This window comes from Homo sapiens, chromosome 7 (assembly GCF_000001405.40).
Source record: "Homo sapiens chromosome 7, GRCh38.p14 Primary Assembly".
NCBI lineage: Eukaryota > Metazoa > Chordata > Mammalia > Primates > Hominidae > Homo > Homo sapiens.
This window is the reverse complement of record NC_000007.14, coordinates 152,161,986-152,179,697: the sequence shown is the minus strand read 5'-3', so window position 1 is coordinate 152,179,697 and position 17,712 is coordinate 152,161,986. Positions and strand designations below refer to the sequence as shown.

The window sequence follows — 17,712 nt, the reverse complement described above, 5'->3', positions numbered from 1 at the left end:
GCCTGGGCAATATAGTGAGACCACCCCCCCCCCCCCCCAACCTCTTCAACAAATTTAAAAATTTTTTAAAAGAAATAGACAAATGAAGTTAGTATTAATCAGGAAGCTGTTACTGCTTTCTACTTCTTTCTCCCCTTTGAAATATATATAATCTGCTATTTAGTGCTAATGAGAGGTCATAGACATTTTTTTCCTCTAAGAACTCTACAGACTCTGAAAACATTACCTTTGTTTTTAAGTATTAACTGTGTTAGCATTACCTTGCACCCTTAATGATGCAGTTTATCATATGACATCCTCAAAATGTAGCTATTCTGCGTAGGCAAAGCCTCCTACGATGTGATGAGACTTGTCCTCTCTCCAAATTTCTACCTTTTAACTTTACATTCTAAATTAATTTTAGGCTGGGCGCAGTGGCTCAGGCCTGTAATCCCAATACTTTGGGAGGCCGAGGTGGGCGGATCACTTGAGGTCAGGAGTTCGAGACCAACCTGGCCAACATGGTAAAACCCTGCCTCTAGTAAAAATACAAAAATTGGCCGGCTATGGCGGCAGGCACTGCACCTGTATTCGCGGCTACTCAGGAGGCTGAGACAAAAGGATCACTTGAACCCAGGAGGTGGAGGTTGCAGTGAGCCGAGGTCACGCCACTGCACTCCAGCCTGGGAGACAGAACGAGACTCTGTCTCAATTTAAAAAATAATAATAATAAATTTTAGAGATTTCCGAACTGAAAGGACTTTCCCTTTAGGAACTTTCCATGGTGAGATAGGGTTGTAAGTTAGTGGTGATGAATCATAAGAATGTTTCCTTTTTCAAAGTGGCTAAAGTCAAAGCCAAACCTATGCCCTAGTTATAATAAGGAAATAGTTCTTTAAGATATGCTTTTTAGTTTTATGTCTTTTAGTCTTATATCTCTACCTCCATGTTATATTCTTTTAGTTTCCTTTTCTTCTACCTTAGTTGTAATTTATGCCTCTTTCTGCATTTTATATTTTGTGTAAGTTGCCTGTAATCTTACTCTTAATTTCCCTTTTTTCTTCCACCTTGTTATAATTTATGCCTCTTGCTATGCTTTGTATTCTGTGTAAGTTGCCTGTAATCCTGTCTAGAAGGAAGTACAATATAAAATAGTCCAACAATTTATACATTTACTTAATCTTTATAGATGAGGCCTACTTGTCCTTTTCTCTAAGTTTATTCTATCCCATCATCAAACCTGTGCCTTTGTAGTCTCATGTACTGAGGCCTGTAAGTCCCTCAATAGGTATGAAGACCTATCTTCATTCAAACATCATCCCCGAATCAGCTTCCTCCATCGAACCTCCCTAAATATAGATAAAAGAAACTCTTCCTGAAAAAGTCCAGTAGTATTGTTCTTATCTCTGAACAATTGATTTCATCTGCTTGGTTGTTCTTCCTTTGTCTTCATTTTTGTTATCTGTTAAATCTTAAGCCTTTAGAGCTCAGATATGGTGTTCATTATAGGATTCTTAGCAAAATCTTACTTGCATATGAATACTGTAAATACTTTTTAATGGTGATAGCTTTGCTTTTGTAAGTCATAGTATTTGGCAACATTTTGTATGTACAGTTTAATTGAAGACTTTTCTTTTTTTCAACTTAACTCTAAATTTAACATAATACCTATTTGCTTTTTTTTTTTTTTTTTTTTTTTTTTTAAAAGATTTGGATTTCCAGGAGGTAGTCATGGTACCATGCCGAGTCAAGAGCGCTTCCTTGTGCCTCCTCAGCAAATACAGGGATCTGGAGTTTCTCCACAGCTAAGAAGATCAGTATCTGTAGATATGCCTAGGCCTTTAAATAACTCACAAATGAATAATCCAGTTGGACTTCCTCAGCATTTTTCACCACAGAGCTTGCCAGTTCAGCAGCACAACATACTGGGCCAAGCATATATTGAACTGAGACATAGGGCTCCTGACGGAAGGCAACGGCTGCCTTTCAGTGCTCCACCTGGCAGCGTTGTAGAGGCATCTTCTAATCTGAGACATGGAAACTTCATTCCCCGGCCAGACTTTCCGGGCCCTAGACACACAGACCCCATGCGACGACCTCCCCAGGGTCTACCTAATCAGCTACCTGTGCACCCAGATTTGGAACAAGTGCCACCATCTCAACAAGAGCAAGGTCATTCTGTCCATTCATCTTCTATGGTCATGAGGACTCTGAACCATCCACTAGGTGGTGAATTTTCAGAAGCTCCTTTGTCAACATCTGTACCGTCTGAAACAACGTCTGATAATTTACAGATAACCACCCAGCCTTCTGATGGTCTAGAGGAAAAACTTGATTCTGATGACCCTTCTGTGAAGGAACTGGATGTTAAAGACCTTGAGGGGGTTGAAGTCAAAGACTTAGATGATGAAGATCTTGAAAACTTAAATTTAGATACAGAGGATGGCAAGGTAGTTGAATTGGATACTTTAGATAATTTGGAAACTAATGATCCCAACCTGGATGACCTCTTAAGGTCAGGAGAGTTTGATATCATTGCATATACAGATCCAGAACTTGACATGGGAGATAAGAAAAGCATGTTTAATGAGGAACTAGACCTTCCAATTGATGATAAGTTAGATAATCAGTGTGTATCTGTTGAACCAAAAAAAAAGGAACAAGAAAACAAAACTCTGGTTCTCTCTGATAAACATTCACCACAGAAAAAATCCACTGTTACCAATGAGGTAAAAACGGAAGTACTGTCTCCAAATTCTAAGGTGGAATCCAAATGTGAAACTGAAAAAAATGATGAGAATAAAGATAATGTTGACACTCCTTGCTCACAGGCTTCTGCTCACTCAGACCTAAATGATGGAGAAAAGACTTCTTTGCATCCTTGTGATCCAGATCTATTTGAGAAAAGAACCAATCGAGAAACTGCTGGCCCCAGTGCAAATGTCATTCAGGCATCCACTCAACTACCTGCTCAAGATGTAATAAACTCTTGTGGCATAACTGGATCAACTCCAGTTCTCTCAAGTTTACTTGCTAATGAGAAATCTGATAATTCAGACATTAGGCCATCGGGGTCTCCACCACCACCAACTCTGCCGGCCTCCCCATCCAATCATGTGTCAAGTTTGCCTCCTTTCATAGCACCGCCTGGCCGTGTTTTGGATAATGCCATGAATTCTAATGTGACAGTAGTCTCTAGGGTAAACCATGTTTTTTCTCAGGGTGTGCAGGTAAACCCAGGGCTCATTCCAGGTCAATCAACAGTTAACCACAGTCTGGGGACAGGAAAACCTGCAACTCAAACTGGGCCTCAAACAAGTCAGTCTGGTACCAGTAGCATGTCTGGACCCCAACAGCTAATGATTCCTCAAACATTAGCACAGCAGAATAGAGAGAGGCCCCTTCTTCTAGAAGAACAGCCTCTACTTCTACAGGATCTTTTGGATCAAGAAAGGCAAGAACAGCAGCAGCAAAGACAGATGCAAGCCATGATTCGTCAGCGATCAGAACCGTTCTTCCCTAATATTGGTAGGAGTTTTCTTGAGTCTCAACGTATATTACTATGGGTATTAGAGTGGCATGCGATATGCTTATAAGATTTTATTATTAGAATTACAGTTGGAATAAAGCACTGAGTTTTTCTATTCCTCCTTGAGGAGTTTGTTTGTTTTGTTTTGAGACGGAGTCTCACTGTGTCACCCAAGATGGAGTGCAGTGGCGCGATCTCGGCTCACAGCAACCTCCACCTCCTGGGTTCAAGTGATTCTCCTGCCTCAGCCTCCCGAGTAGCTGGGACTACAGACACGTGCCACCATGCCTGGCCAATTTTTGTATTTTTAGTAGAGGTGCGGGGTTTCACCATGTTGGCCAGGCTGGTCTCAAACTCCTGACCTCAGGTGATCCGCCTGCTTTGGCCTCCCAAAGTGCTGGGATTACAGGCGTGAGCCACCCTGCTTGGCCCTCCTTGAGCTTTAGAATGAAAGCAGTTGGCTGGGCACAGTGGCTCACGGCTGTAATCCTAGCACTTTGGGAGACCGAGGCAGACAGATTGCCTCAGCTCAGGAGTTCCAGACCAACCTGGGCAACACAGGACATGGATGAAGCTGGAAACCATCATTCTCAGCAAACTAATGCAGGAACAGAAAACCATACACTGCATGTTCTCACTCATAAGTGGGAGTTGAACAGTGAGAACACATGGACACAGGGAGGGGAACATCACACACTGGAACCTGTCGGGGGTGGGGGGCTAGGGGACGGATAGCATTAGGAGAAATACCTAATGTAGATGACGGGTTGATGGGTGCAGCAAACCACCATGACATATGTATACCTATGTAACCAGCATATTCTGCACAAGTATCCCAGAATTTAAAGTATAATAATTAAAAAAAAATAACAAAAAATTAGCTGGGCATAGCAGCGTGCGCCTGTAGTCCCAGTTATTCGGGAGACAGAGGCAGGAGAATGGTGTGAACCCAGGAGGCGGAAGTTGCAGTGAGGCGAGATCGCACCATTGCACTCCAGCCTGGGGGACAGAGTGAGACTCTGTCTCAAAAAAAAAAAAATGAAAACAACGAAGAGTTTTAGATTCTTTCCAGGTAAATTAAGAGATTCAAAACTGAGTTACAAACTTCCCTCAATTCTATTATTTATGGAATTGTTTAATAGAAACTAATTGTCTTCTTAGTTCCTACATTCCAACCATTGTTGCCATATGTTTTCAGTCATGGAAGGATGAATTTAAGAAAATTATGATGGAAATAAAGCTTCTTACTGTCCTTTTGTGTATGACAAATGCTTGGCGATTTTTTGCTATATAAACCTCTTTAACTTGTTTCTAATGGTTTACTGATTCTAAAAACAACAAAAGCAATGCAGTCAAAATGCCTCAGTGCCTCTAAGAATAAGAATTAGCAATCAAAGGGCACGTGTCTAAGCAGTGTGCCTTATTCTAAATAATAAAATTGACATTCCATTTTATATATCCCCAATTTCATCATTTTGCTCCCTTTTTTTCATTTAGATGCAAATAGGTTTTTTCGTAGTAGCTTCTTATTGAGAGGTTATACCCTTAAGAAATTGGTGCATTTTTCTTTTAAGAGTGATAACTAATTTAGTAGAATTCCTTAGTATTGCAAATTCTTATTTGTGATGTTATATTTACTAAAGAAGCCATTCTGATTAGCATTGCAAAAGTTTGGATGAAAGGAAATTAATTGCATTGCTTTAGATTATTGCTTATAATCTCCCTTAAACTTGACTTTTTGTTTTAATTCCTGCAGGACTAAGGTATTAAAGCATGATTCAGTTAAGGACTACTGAGATGCGATTAAACCCAGGATAAGGTTGCCATCTCAGAAATCTGTAATGATTATTAAATAATAAAATTTAAGAGCTTGTAATATTTGAATTACTTCTTAGTGTACGTTGAACTAATTACTATGAAATAAGTAACTTTATATTTCTTTTCTAGATTTTGATGCAATTACAGATCCTATAATGAAAGCCAAAATGGTGGCCCTTAAAGGTATAAATAAAGTGATGGCACAAAACAATCTGGGCATGCCACCAATGGTGATGAGCAGGTAGGTGGAGTGGCTGCTTGTTTCTACTGGGCATCTAGACATTCATGAAATCATTACTAGTTTTTAGAAAAAACATACAGAAAATGGAAAGCCCTTGTCTAGGAATGAACAACACTATTTAAGTTGTCATGGCATCAGCTCGATATGATCAGATACAAAATGCTATACCAATTTAAGAAATTAGTGTAAGAACCAGTTTAAGAGCATTAGTCTCAAGGATGGTAAATGTAAAACATCTTAAAAAGATTTGGAAGATTGGATTTCCTGATTACTCAAGTCAAAGTATTTAGGTCTGTGCTCTTTTAAATACCTTTAGAATTGTTCATGTTATCTAAGATTTTTTTCAGTTAAGACACTGAGTGATTAAAGCAATTATAAATTCAGTTCTAAAATAAAATGTTCCCAAACCGGTTTTGAATCAGAAAAAGAAAGTTACAAGGAATAGATAAGAGGACAGTTGGAAGTTGGAGTTACAGAGTTTGTCTTTTCTCTCTTAGGAGAAAAACAGAAATTACGCATTAAAGAAGACAGTAGGGGTTATTTCAATATCTGAATTTTTGAAATTATGCCCTCTAAGGGTTGTTAACCACATGGCACTGTTTCTTAAATTTTGATCATGGACCACCATGAGAATTATGGGGTAATTTTTTTAAAATGCAGATTATTTTGCTCTACTGCAGACCTACTAAATAAGAATATCTGGAGATGGTTGCCTGTGTGTCTGTATTTTTAGCAAGCGTCATGAATGAGTCTTACGTGTATTACTATATGAGAACCTCTGTCAATAAAGTAAGCATAGAGCCTCAATTTAGTCTAGTTATCTTGTTGAAAAACTTTTATATAAAAAATGTGGATGATTATAGAATTGAATATAAAATTTGCACGAATTTAAGATGTATATATTTCAAAGAAATTTGAATTCTTAAGGGTATAATTCTTTTCAATTGTTGAGATACTTTGGACATGGTTAAGAAGCATTTTTGAGATCAAAGTAGAGATAGTGGTTTCCAATGATTTTCATTATTGAGCAATATTTATTAACACTATTTCTCTATCATAGAGATTCCTAACTGTTTTATGTCTTGAATATTTTTGGATTCCAGTGAAGCCTTTGAAATTCTCAGAATGTTTTATATGCAGAAAATTTAAGACATAGCATTACGAAGGAAATGATTATACTTGAAATATAGTTATTAAAATATAATTAAATTTATGTATATATGTTCCTTAAAGTATTAACAAATTTAGCAATAAACCATAATTTGAAAGTAATGATGAACATAACTAATCTATTAGGTGCCTGCAACACTCGATAGGAAAATAATCTGTCTTCTATTGGTGATAGTTGTGGTACTTGCTAATAATATTGTAGTTTCTATGTATATTCAAAACAAGGAAATGCTGAGTTTTATTTACTACTTAGTTTTGTTTTGGTTTTTGTTTCTGAGACGGAGTTTCGCTGTTGTTGCCCAGGATAGAGTGCAATGGCTCACTGCAGCCTTCACCTCCAAGGTTCAAGCGATTCTCCTGCATCAGCCTCTGGAGTAGCTCGGATCACAGGCACGTGCCACCATGCGCAGCTAATTTTTGTATTTTTGGTAGAGACAGGGTTTCACCATGTTGGTCAGGCTGTTCTTGAACTTCTGACCTCAGGTGATCCACCTGCCTCCCCCTCCCAAAGTGCTGCAATTACAGGCATGAGCCACTGCACCCGACCAGCACTTAGTTTTAAATATGGACCTCAGAATTTGAGGCCTTTCAGCATCTGATGCTCTTTTAGCATCATGCATCTGCCGGTTAGATACATTAGTCATGTATCAGGTATATGGCTTAGTATTCTACTGACTGCTTTTTAGAAATGGAAGTGATAGTCCCTTCTTAGAGTAGTGTGATATGTTGAGTTAGGATGATAGACCATGTGTGATATTCAGATTAGAAGATCATTTAGACCAGACCTGTAGCAGTGGGTAGGGTGACAGATCAATGAAAAACCTGAGTAAAAAATTTAAAAACATATTCTATATCCTAATAGTACTTAAATAGTAATATACAGCTTTTGGAATACATTTTTAAAATTGTATGTATATCTTGATACGTTAAAGCATTTGATAATGCCAGAGGAAATACTTTCATGTAAGCAGTAATGCTTCTGTGAAGTTTTTATAGTTTTAATTAGAATGAGTAACATTTCTCTAAACACGTTTAACCATGCAGACTGATCTTGGTCAGTCGTCCATTTTTGATTTGCTTTAACATTAGATATAGAAATGTATGAAAATGTATGAAAATTCTTAAATTGGGAAATGTCTTTTGTTTTAGAATATAAAATAACTAAGCTCTCAATTAGTTTTTAACACAGACTGGAATGAGAAAACATTTCCTTAGAGTTCGTTATAAAACTAAATCAACTTATTTTTATTCTGAAGTCTTGAATTCATTTTATCGTAAAGTGGAGTGAGGCACATAATAGAGTAAAACCTCTAGAGTCAGCCTAGCTGGCTTCTTATTGCAGCCCTACTAGTCCTTGTGGGGAAGGTTACGGAATATCTCTGAATCTTACTTTCATCATAAGTAACATGAGGGTGCTAAGAGCACACTTCATCGAATTACAGTGAGGATCACATCTGCCCAGTACATGAAAGGTAGGGCTTTAGTGTTTTGATGAAGAAGAAATTGCCACTGTTCTTCTCTGGAAGAGAAAACTGTTAAGCACCTAATACAGTTTTTAATTAATATTAATAATTTCTAAACGCTCATCACTTGATACTTGTGTACCCTGTTTTGACAGGTTCCCTTTTATGGGCCAGGTGGTAACTGGAACACAGAACAGTGAAGGACAGAACCTTGGACCACAGGCCATTCCTCAGGTAACACTGCCTGTAATGAGTCCCTCTAGAATGCACGCTTTTCTGTTTCCCAGCAAACTCATGCTTTAGAGTAAGTCCCCTGCTAGAGAGTAGTACTAGGTTTGTGCAGAAGTAAATGCGGATTTCACCATATGCCATTTGCCAGTGGCAAAAACCGCAATTACTTTTTCACCAACCTAAATAGTAGCCTTATCTATCAGCACAGCCAAAAGTAACCAAAAAGACACTTTACTGCTTTTTAAACAAAAGACAAATTAAGGTTAAAAAAATTGGCTGTGATTTCTGAAAAGGATTTATATACTTACGGGTAAAAAGTCACTTGATGGCAAAACCACACGCTCAGGACTTTTGGTTTTATTTTTATTTACTTATTTTTAACTCCAGAAGGACATTTTCATGTCCTGCATTTTAGAATTAAACCCATTATATTTAAAATGTAAAACTTCTATAAATACTAGAAAATGGCTGGGCACGGTGGCTCACTCCTCTAATCCCAGCACTTTGGGAGGCCGAGATGGGCAAATTATGAAGTCAGCAGTTTGAGACCAGCCTGACCAACGTAGTGAAACCCCGTCTCTACAAAAAATACAAAAATTAGTCAGGCGTGGTGGCGCACACCTATAGTCCCAGCTACTTGGGAGACTGAGGCAGGAGAATCGCTTGAACCCGGGAGGCAGAGGTTGCAGTGAGCCGAGATCACGCCACTGCACTCCAGCTTGGGTGACAGAGCGAGACTTCATCTCAAACAAACAAACACAGCAAGTAGAAAACAATATGCTATATTTGTTTTTTCCTTTTTTCTTCCCATCCTTGTTGAAAGATATGCTATATTTTTAATATAATATCAAGCAGTATCTGGGGAAGTAAAACTCATGCAGTATTTTTGTCAGTGATTTTTTTTTTATAAAGGGAGCTACCTACTATAATGTATGTCCTGTTTTCTTCCTTGCCCTGCCAGTTATGCTTTAGATTTATTATGCTGATAATTATATTCTTCTCATTATTAAAAGAGGAAACAGAAGCCATTTGATATAATGGGAAAAGCATAGCCTTTATAGCTGAGTTTTTTTAAAGAAATTATAGTTCCACTATGAATTTACTGTGCAACTTTGGGCAAATTCTTTAGCCTCTTGTTTTTTAATATGTCAAATGTTAAACCAACTGCTTTGTAGTATTGTGAAGATTGCACATAATACATTCTGGCTGCTAGTATAAGTTTATAATTATTACCTTGTATACAGCTCATGTTAAGGAGAACTTGTGACAACTGGATAAACATTTTTCAACATTAATTTGTTAGGTGATTATCAGGGACTTGTGAGATTAATAACTGCTTGTTCAGTCACCTGGAAGAAATAAGACTTTTAACTTGAAAATAAAACGAATTAAATACTTTTTATTTATTTTTTTTATTTTTTTGGGAACAGGATCCTGCTGTGTTGCCCAGGCTGGCCTCAAACACCTGGGCTCAAGCGATCCTACCACCTCAGCCTCCCAAGTAGCCGGGACTACAGGCGTGTGTAGAAAATAAGACTAATATTTTTATTAACGTATTTTTCTTTTATATTTGTGCATGTTAGAGACATTAGTTTTTGTTATAAATAACCATGCTGTGGAGTGGCATTTAGTCAATCTGGAACTTGTGTTTGATTGAAGAAGAAACCAGGTAAACTTCATCAAAAAGTGAGATTTTTTATATAGATCTCTCGCTTAGTATTAGCAGTAATTGATTTGCCCTGTATTATATTTCTGATGAATAATCCTTTACCTCAAGCATAATTGTTTTCAGCCAAAATCTAGACAGTATAGTAGTTCAGAGATAGTAATAAGAATTCAGAATTAGGTTGCCACCACTAAATTCACTCTACTTTTTATAAAAAAACCTTTAAAAGATATCTTAGGAAATTAAAGGGTTTTTTCTTCCATTTCTTTTTTTCTTTCTTTCTTTTAAAGTTTTTTCCCCCCTTTAACTGAAATGTGGAATAAACATATTTGTAAATTTTACTTATTTTAGGATGGCAGTATAACACATCAGATTTCTAGGCCTAATCCTCCAAATTTTGGTCCAGGCTTTGTCAGTAAGTATAAATCTAATAAGTTAATGTTTTCTGGGGATTGCTTGTCTGCACTCTATGTGTGCTGTTCTAAACCTGAAGTGAGTGTAGGTACACCAGTTCAAGCCCAGGTGCCCTCCTGTCTTATTAAACATCACTGCCCTATTAGGCAACTCTTCTTCAAGGCGTGTGTTTTCATTGCTTTTTTCACTGTGCATGAAGAATTATAGTTACAGAAAAGTATTTTAATACAGAAAAACCATCTTCCCCATTCTCTTCAATATTGTTGCTGTTTTTGTATACAGATTGGGCACTTTACAGTCTATAGAACTAAACCACGTTTTGCTCTAAGAACTGTCTTCCTAAGTGACAAGGACACTAAATGGGAAAAACAAAGGGATTATACTTAGCAGTAAGTTGGGTTAGCAGCATGGTGTAAAGGTCAGGTATGCAAGGTGCCCCTGAATCCTTTCTAGTTATTTGCAGGGGTCCCAAGGTGGTTCAGGATAGTGTTTAAAGTTCTCCCCAAACTGAACCTTTCTGAAATCTTCAGACTGTTTAGCTAACTTTTTTTTCACCATTATTTTTCATTTTGCTCACCTCTGCTCTCCTGGTTCCAGAAACCAGAAAGGCTTTCCTTGCGGTAGGTCTCATTCTACCAGAAGCAGAACTTCTGAAATCTTGTGAAAAAGCCTGTTCTTAAAAAATGCCCTTCAAATTTAGTAGACTAGATTTCAAGTTCATACATGTACTGGAACTTCTGGGTTTAGGAACAAACCCAAAGTCTGACCTTTTGAAATTCCCCCTACATTAATTGTTACTATAATTTGAATACATATTTGCATTAAAAACAAGTAAAGAACTATACCAACTGGCTTTTTCTGGCTTTATTGTGCCCATTGGCTTTGGTTGGATTCTTAATGTATGACAATATTCTGTTATCATTGATGTTATTTTCAGCGAATGTCCTTCTTAGAAATGTATTTATTCATTTCTTTGTCTTGTAGTGAGTCAAAAAGGTATATTCAGAATTTCACTACATACGATGACTTTTTTTTTTTCCCCTTGGACTGGGTATCAATGAAGTAAAGTGCCCTTAAAGAATAAAGAAGAGAATATTGGTACAAAATGAAGAGATATAGCCATTTGGGGAGAATTACTGGCAGTTGTAAAAGTAGAAAATGTTTTGCTTGGTTAACTATTCCCTCCCCTTATTTTAAAAAATATAACTACAGAATAATAATTACCAATGTTTTCAACTTATGGATTTCCTTTATAAGTCATAGACTTTAAATTATTCCATTCTAAAACATTCTGGGTTCCTTTTCTCTCTGTTTAGGATATTTTTTCATTATTAAGAAATAGGAAAGAACTTATAAACTCAGGAAAATTAACATGGGAAGTGATTTCCTAGTCTATGCGCTAGACCTTAATGGGATATGTCTTTGTCTCTTCAAAATCTGTAAAATCGTATTCATAAAATGCATGTATACCTTAGTATGTAGTTTGGCTTGTGGGTTAGAGAATTTGTTTAGTAAAAAAAAAGAATTTCATTACATAAGTCTGCTTTTCCAAGATTGGATTTGTAATATTTATAAGTGCTAAGTTAACCAGTATCTCAAGAATGTGCATTCTCTGGCTTTCTCAATTAAATATTTTTCTAAAATCTGATATTTTATCATTACATAATCGTCTAATATTTAGTATTGTGTTTTCAAATTTCCTATTATGTGGTCATGGTGAAACTACTTCCTTACAAAATAGATTTGTGTAACTTATAATGTTGGACTCTTTAGAAAATTAACACAACTGAATTTTAATTTTTCCTCAGATGATTCACAGCGTAAGCAGTATGAAGAGTGGCTCCAGGAGACCCAACAGCTGCTTCAAATGCAGCAGAAGTATCTTGAAGAACAAATTGGTGCTCACAGAAAATCTAAGAAGGCCCTTTCAGCTAAACAACGTACTGCCAAGAAAGCTGGGCGTGAATTTCCAGAGGAAGATGCAGAACAACTCAAGCATGTTACTGAACAGCAAAGCATGGTTCAGAAACAGCTAGAACAGGTAATAAATAGGTTTGCAAAATAGAAACTACCAACAATTAATGAGTAGAATGTTTTGGTGTGTTGTTCATTAGTGACTTTGACTAGTGATTTTTTTTGACTAGTATTAAATGGCATTAAAAGTACATTGCCAAAAAGTGACAGCTCTGAGACCTCTTAGTAACTGCAGCCATAACAGCTCCAGTCTTTTACTTAAAGTGACGGTCACAGCACATACTAAATAAATGACACAAAAGAGATTGAGTCTCATAATTTCGACTTCGAAGAACTATTTTCAACTTTGGTATAGTTGGAGACGTTATTTTTTTCTGCACTAAGAAATCACTGCAAAGACCATGTTTCTGTTATACATCATTGAGAGTATTCGACTTAACTGAGGACCGAGCTCATGGGGAGATACTGGGTTTAGTTTGGAATAAGAATTGGGGGCCCAGGGAGTATTTTTGTTTACTTGGAGTTGATATTATTATTATTTCTTAATGTTTTGGTCTTAAAATACATTGGTATGTCTTATGTGAAGTACTGTTCCAGAAAAATGAAATCATTTTGCCATTATCTTCTATTATAAACCAGAAGTTTATCAGAATATTTAAACTGAATAATATACTGGAAAAGAAGAAACATGTAAAAATTGTATTTAAAATAAAACAATAGTAGTGTACAAAATGGGTTCAGAGCCAACTCCTAGGTATATTTACCCAAGTAAATTAAAAACTTAAGGTTCAGGCCAGGCGTGGTGGTTCATACCTGTAATTCCAGCACTTTGGGAGGCCGAGGTGGGTGGATCACTTGAGGTCAGGAGTTTGAGACCAGCCTGGCCAACATGGTGAAACCCCGTCTCTACTAAAAATACAAAAATTAGCTAAGTATGGTGGTGTGTGCCTGTAATCCCAGCTATTTGGGAGGCTGAGGCAGGAGAATCCCTGCACCAAGGAGTCAGAGGTTGTGGTGAGCCGAGCTTGCGCCACTGTACTCCAGCCTGGCGACAAAGTGAGACTCCATCTCAAAAAAAAAAAAAAAAAATGTGAGTGCTCTATAATGAACACTGTAGGAAGCACTTCCATTTACGTTGTCTTATCTACATCTTTCTGAAGGAGTTAGTATTATCCCCATTTTACAAACTGATTCATTGTAAAGGTTATAAACACTGTGTACACGTGGCCAGGCACGGTGGCTCACGCCTGTAATCCCAGCACTTTGGGAAGCCAAGACAGGCGGATCACCTGAGGCCAGGAGTTCGAGACCAGCTGGCCAACGTGGCAAAACTCGTCTCTACTAAAAATACAAGAAGTTAGCCAGGCATGGTGGCAGGTGCCTGTAATCCCAGCTGCTTGGGAGGTTGAGGCAGGAGAATTGCTTGAATCCGGGAGGTGGAGGCTGCAGTGAGCTGAGATTGCACCATTGCACTCCAGCCTGGGCAACAAGAGCAAAACTCTTGTCTCAAAAACAAAACAAAACAAAAAAAATCCCAAAAAATACCCCCACTGTACATGTTTGCTTATAACTATTAGATTAGGGATTTGGACTCACGTGTCTTATCTTCAAACCACAGCTACCACAATAATGTACCAACAATAAGGTGATCATAATTCCAGTTGTTTAAAACTAGGATTATTCCAGAATGAAAGGTTTCTTTTCTCTTTAAATCTACTCTCTGGGTTCATGTTTACTGTAGGTTAATATTCTTGTAAAGATATGTTTAATAAAGTATATTTTTTTTAGCACTTTCATTGCCATCTGGCATATTTGTACAAGGTCTTTTGATGAGGGCCTAATTTTTGCATATCCATAGATCAAATCCTATTTAGAAGCTAATACTTGAAAAATGGGATACATCATCTATTACATAGTTGCCAAAGATCCAGTATAATCATATTAAGATAAGCAGTTGATGGTAATGTTTTAAAAAGTATTATAAAATATCATGGGAAAGACATGGATGACCACCTTATATATCCCACATAGTGTTGTAGGTGCTTTCTGTACTTTCTTACTACTTCACCAACCAATGGTAATTTCTCAGTTCTAACCAGTAAACTGGCCAGGAAAAATAAGAAAATAGGAGTTACACAACTGTTGAAGAAGAGATGAAACACGATTATTTGCAGAAAGTATTAGTCTACCTGGGGAACCCAAGAAAATACTTTGAAAAACTATTAGAACTCCTGAGTTTAGTATATTAATATTTATCTAAAAATTGAATGATGTTGAGAGATATACACATCCTTTTGCATTCCTTCTTTCCCTAGCTTGCTGAATGAGATGGTGAGGTTCTCCAGAACATAGTTTGCGTCTTGATTGATATCTGGCCTGTAGTATTGAGCACATTGGGACACAAAGGTTTTTGGAATGAATTAATTAATTGATATTAGCCATTATATTAAGAGTCTATTTACAGACTATTCAAAATACTTCCTCGGAGCTTGTATAGATTTCAGAAATTATAATTTGAGTGTTAGCCATTAAATTGAAAGTGTTCAACAAATTTAGTCTTTTTAATCTGGGTGGGGGGTGTGATATTCGTGCTGGTAATTCATCTTGTCTTAAAATGTTGTACAGGCCGGGCGCAGTGGCTCACGCCTGTAATCCCAGCACTTTGGGAGGCCGAGGCGGGCGGATCACGAGGTCAGGAGATCGAGACCATCCTGGCTAACACGGTGAAACCCCGTCTCTACTAAAAATACAAAAAATTAGCCGGGCGTGGTAGCGGGCGCCTGTAGTCCCAGCTACTCGGGAGGCTGAGGCAGGAGAATGGCGTGAACCCGGGAGGCGGAGCTTGCAGTGAGCCGAGATCGCGCCACTGCACTCCAGCCTGGGCGACAGAGCGAGACTCCGTCTCAAAAAAAAAAAAAAAATGTTGTACAATTTATATATTTAAGAAATGAAATCTTAACATTTAAATGGTTCAAGTTTGAGTTAAGTCTGTTATTCTAACATTGTATATTGTAATTTCTAGGACATCAAAATTAGCTGCTTGTGTAACCTTTTTTATTGTATATTTTTTATGTATAGTATAAATAGTATATATGAGTTTCACCATAAGATTTTAATATTTTACTAAACCGTTTTTGATATTTCATATGTGAAGCACTTTTACAGATAACTTTATAAAAATCCTGTTGTTAAAGAGATTGACAGTTGTTAGTTAAGGCTTATCAATTCAATTTTTTTGTGACTTTTGCAGTTACCCAAGCAAAATATGTTTGCTTCTGCAGGGCCAAACTGCCCTCTGTGTAACCTCAACCACAGTCATCAGCCAGTGTTTTACTTCAGTACCTATGCTGTATAGAAATGAGTAATGATGCATTTTGTTATTCCAGATTCGTAAACAACAGAAAGAACATGCTGAATTGATTGAAGATTATCGGATCAAACAGCAGCAGCAATGTGCAATGGCCCCACCTACCATGATGCCCAGTGTCCAGCCCCAGCCACCCCTAATTCCAGGTGCCACTCCACCCACCATGAGCCAACCCACCTTTCCCATGGTGCCACAGCAGCTTCAGCACCAGCAGCACACAACAGTTATTTCTGGCCATACTAGCCCTGTTAGAATGCCCAGTTTACCTGGATGGCAACCCAACAGTGCTCCTGCCCACCTGCCCCTCAATCCTCCTAGAATTCAGCCCCCAATTGCCCAGTTACCAATAAAAACTTGTACACCAGCCCCAGGGACAGTCTCAAATGCAAATCCACAGAGTGGACCACCACCTCGGGTAGAATTTGATGACAACAATCCCTTTAGTGAAAGTTTTCAAGAACGGGAACGTAAGGAACGTTTACGAGAACAGCAAGAGAGACAACGGATCCAACTCATGCAGGAGGTAGATAGACAAAGAGCTTTGCAGCAGAGGATGGAAATGGAGCAGCATGGTATGGTGGGCTCTGAGATAAGTAGTAGTAGGACATCTGTGTCCCAGATTCCCTTCTACAGTTCCGACTTACCTTGTGATTTTATGCAACCTCTAGGACCCCTTCAGCAGTCTCCACAACACCAACAGCAAATGGGGCAGGTTTTACAGCAGCAGAATATACAACAAGGATCAATTAATTCACCCTCCACCCAAACTTTCATGCAGACTAATGAGCGAAGGCAGGTAGGCCCTCCTTCATTTGTTCCTGATTCACCATCAATCCCTGTTGGAAGCCCAAATTTTTCTTCTGTGAAGCAGGGACATGGAAATCTTTCTGGGACCAGCTTCCAGCAGTCCCCAGTGAGGCCTTCTTTTACACCTGCTTTACCAGCAGCACCTCCAGTAGCTAATAGCAGTCTCCCATGTGGCCAAGATTCTACTATAACCCATGGACACAGTTATCCGGGATCAACCCAATCGCTCATTCAGTTGTATTCTGATATAATCCCAGAGGAAAAAGGGAAAAAGAAAAGAACAAGAAAGAAGAAAAGAGATGATGATGCAGAATCCACCAAGGCTCCATCAACTCCCCATTCAGATATAACTGCCCCACCGACTCCAGGCATCTCAGAAACTACCTCTACTCCTGCAGTGAGCACACCCAGTGAGCTTCCTCAACAAGCCGACCAAGAGTCGGTGGAACCAGTCGGCCCATCCACTCCCAATATGGCAGCAGGCCAGCTATGTACAGAATTAGAGAACAAACTGCCCAATAGTGATTTCTCACAAGCAACTCCAAATCAACAGACGTATGCAAATTCAGAAGTAGACAAGCTCTCCATGGAAACCCCTGCCAAAACAGAAGAGATAAAACTGGAAAAGGCTGAGACAGAGTCCTGCCCAGGCCAAGAGGAGCCTAAATTGGAGGAACAGAATGGTAGTAAGGTAGAAGGAAACGCTGTAGCCTGTCCTGTCTCCTCAGCACAGAGTCCTCCCCATTCTGCTGGGGCCCCTGCTGCCAAAGGAGACTCAGGGAATGAACTTCTGAAACACTTGTTGAAAAATAAAAAGTCATCTTCTCTTTTGAATCAAAAACCTGAGGGCAGTATTTGTTCAGAAGATGACTGTACAAAGGATAATAAACTAGTTGAGAAGCAGAACCCAGCTGAAGGACTGGTAAGTGTAAATCATAAAAACGACAACTTTTTTCTTTTGTTTTAAATTATACTTACAGCAGATTAGTACCAGCAACTGTATTTCCACATTATTCTACAACCTTTTTATTCTAAAGGACCATTTTTTATTTT

At 38.2% G+C, this 17,712-nt stretch overlaps 1 protein-coding gene across 1 annotated transcript in view; it reads left to right on the top strand.

The window, feature by feature from the left end:
• The window catches only part of KMT2C (lysine methyltransferase 2C), a 301,079-nt gene that overhangs the window by 256,306 nt on the left and 27,061 nt on the right, over window positions 1-17,712 (top strand). Inside the window, exons 38-43 of the mRNA NM_170606.3 lie at window positions 1,688-3,507; window positions 5,456-5,567; window positions 8,356-8,434; window positions 10,449-10,512; window positions 12,320-12,552; window positions 15,872-17,581. Of these exons, the coding sequence (NP_733751.2) occupies window positions 1,688-3,507; window positions 5,456-5,567; window positions 8,356-8,434; window positions 10,449-10,512; window positions 12,320-12,552; window positions 15,872-17,581 (4,018 nt within the window). The remainder of the gene's footprint in view (window positions 1-1,687; window positions 3,508-5,455; window positions 5,568-8,355; window positions 8,435-10,448; window positions 10,513-12,319; window positions 12,553-15,871; window positions 17,582-17,712) is intronic.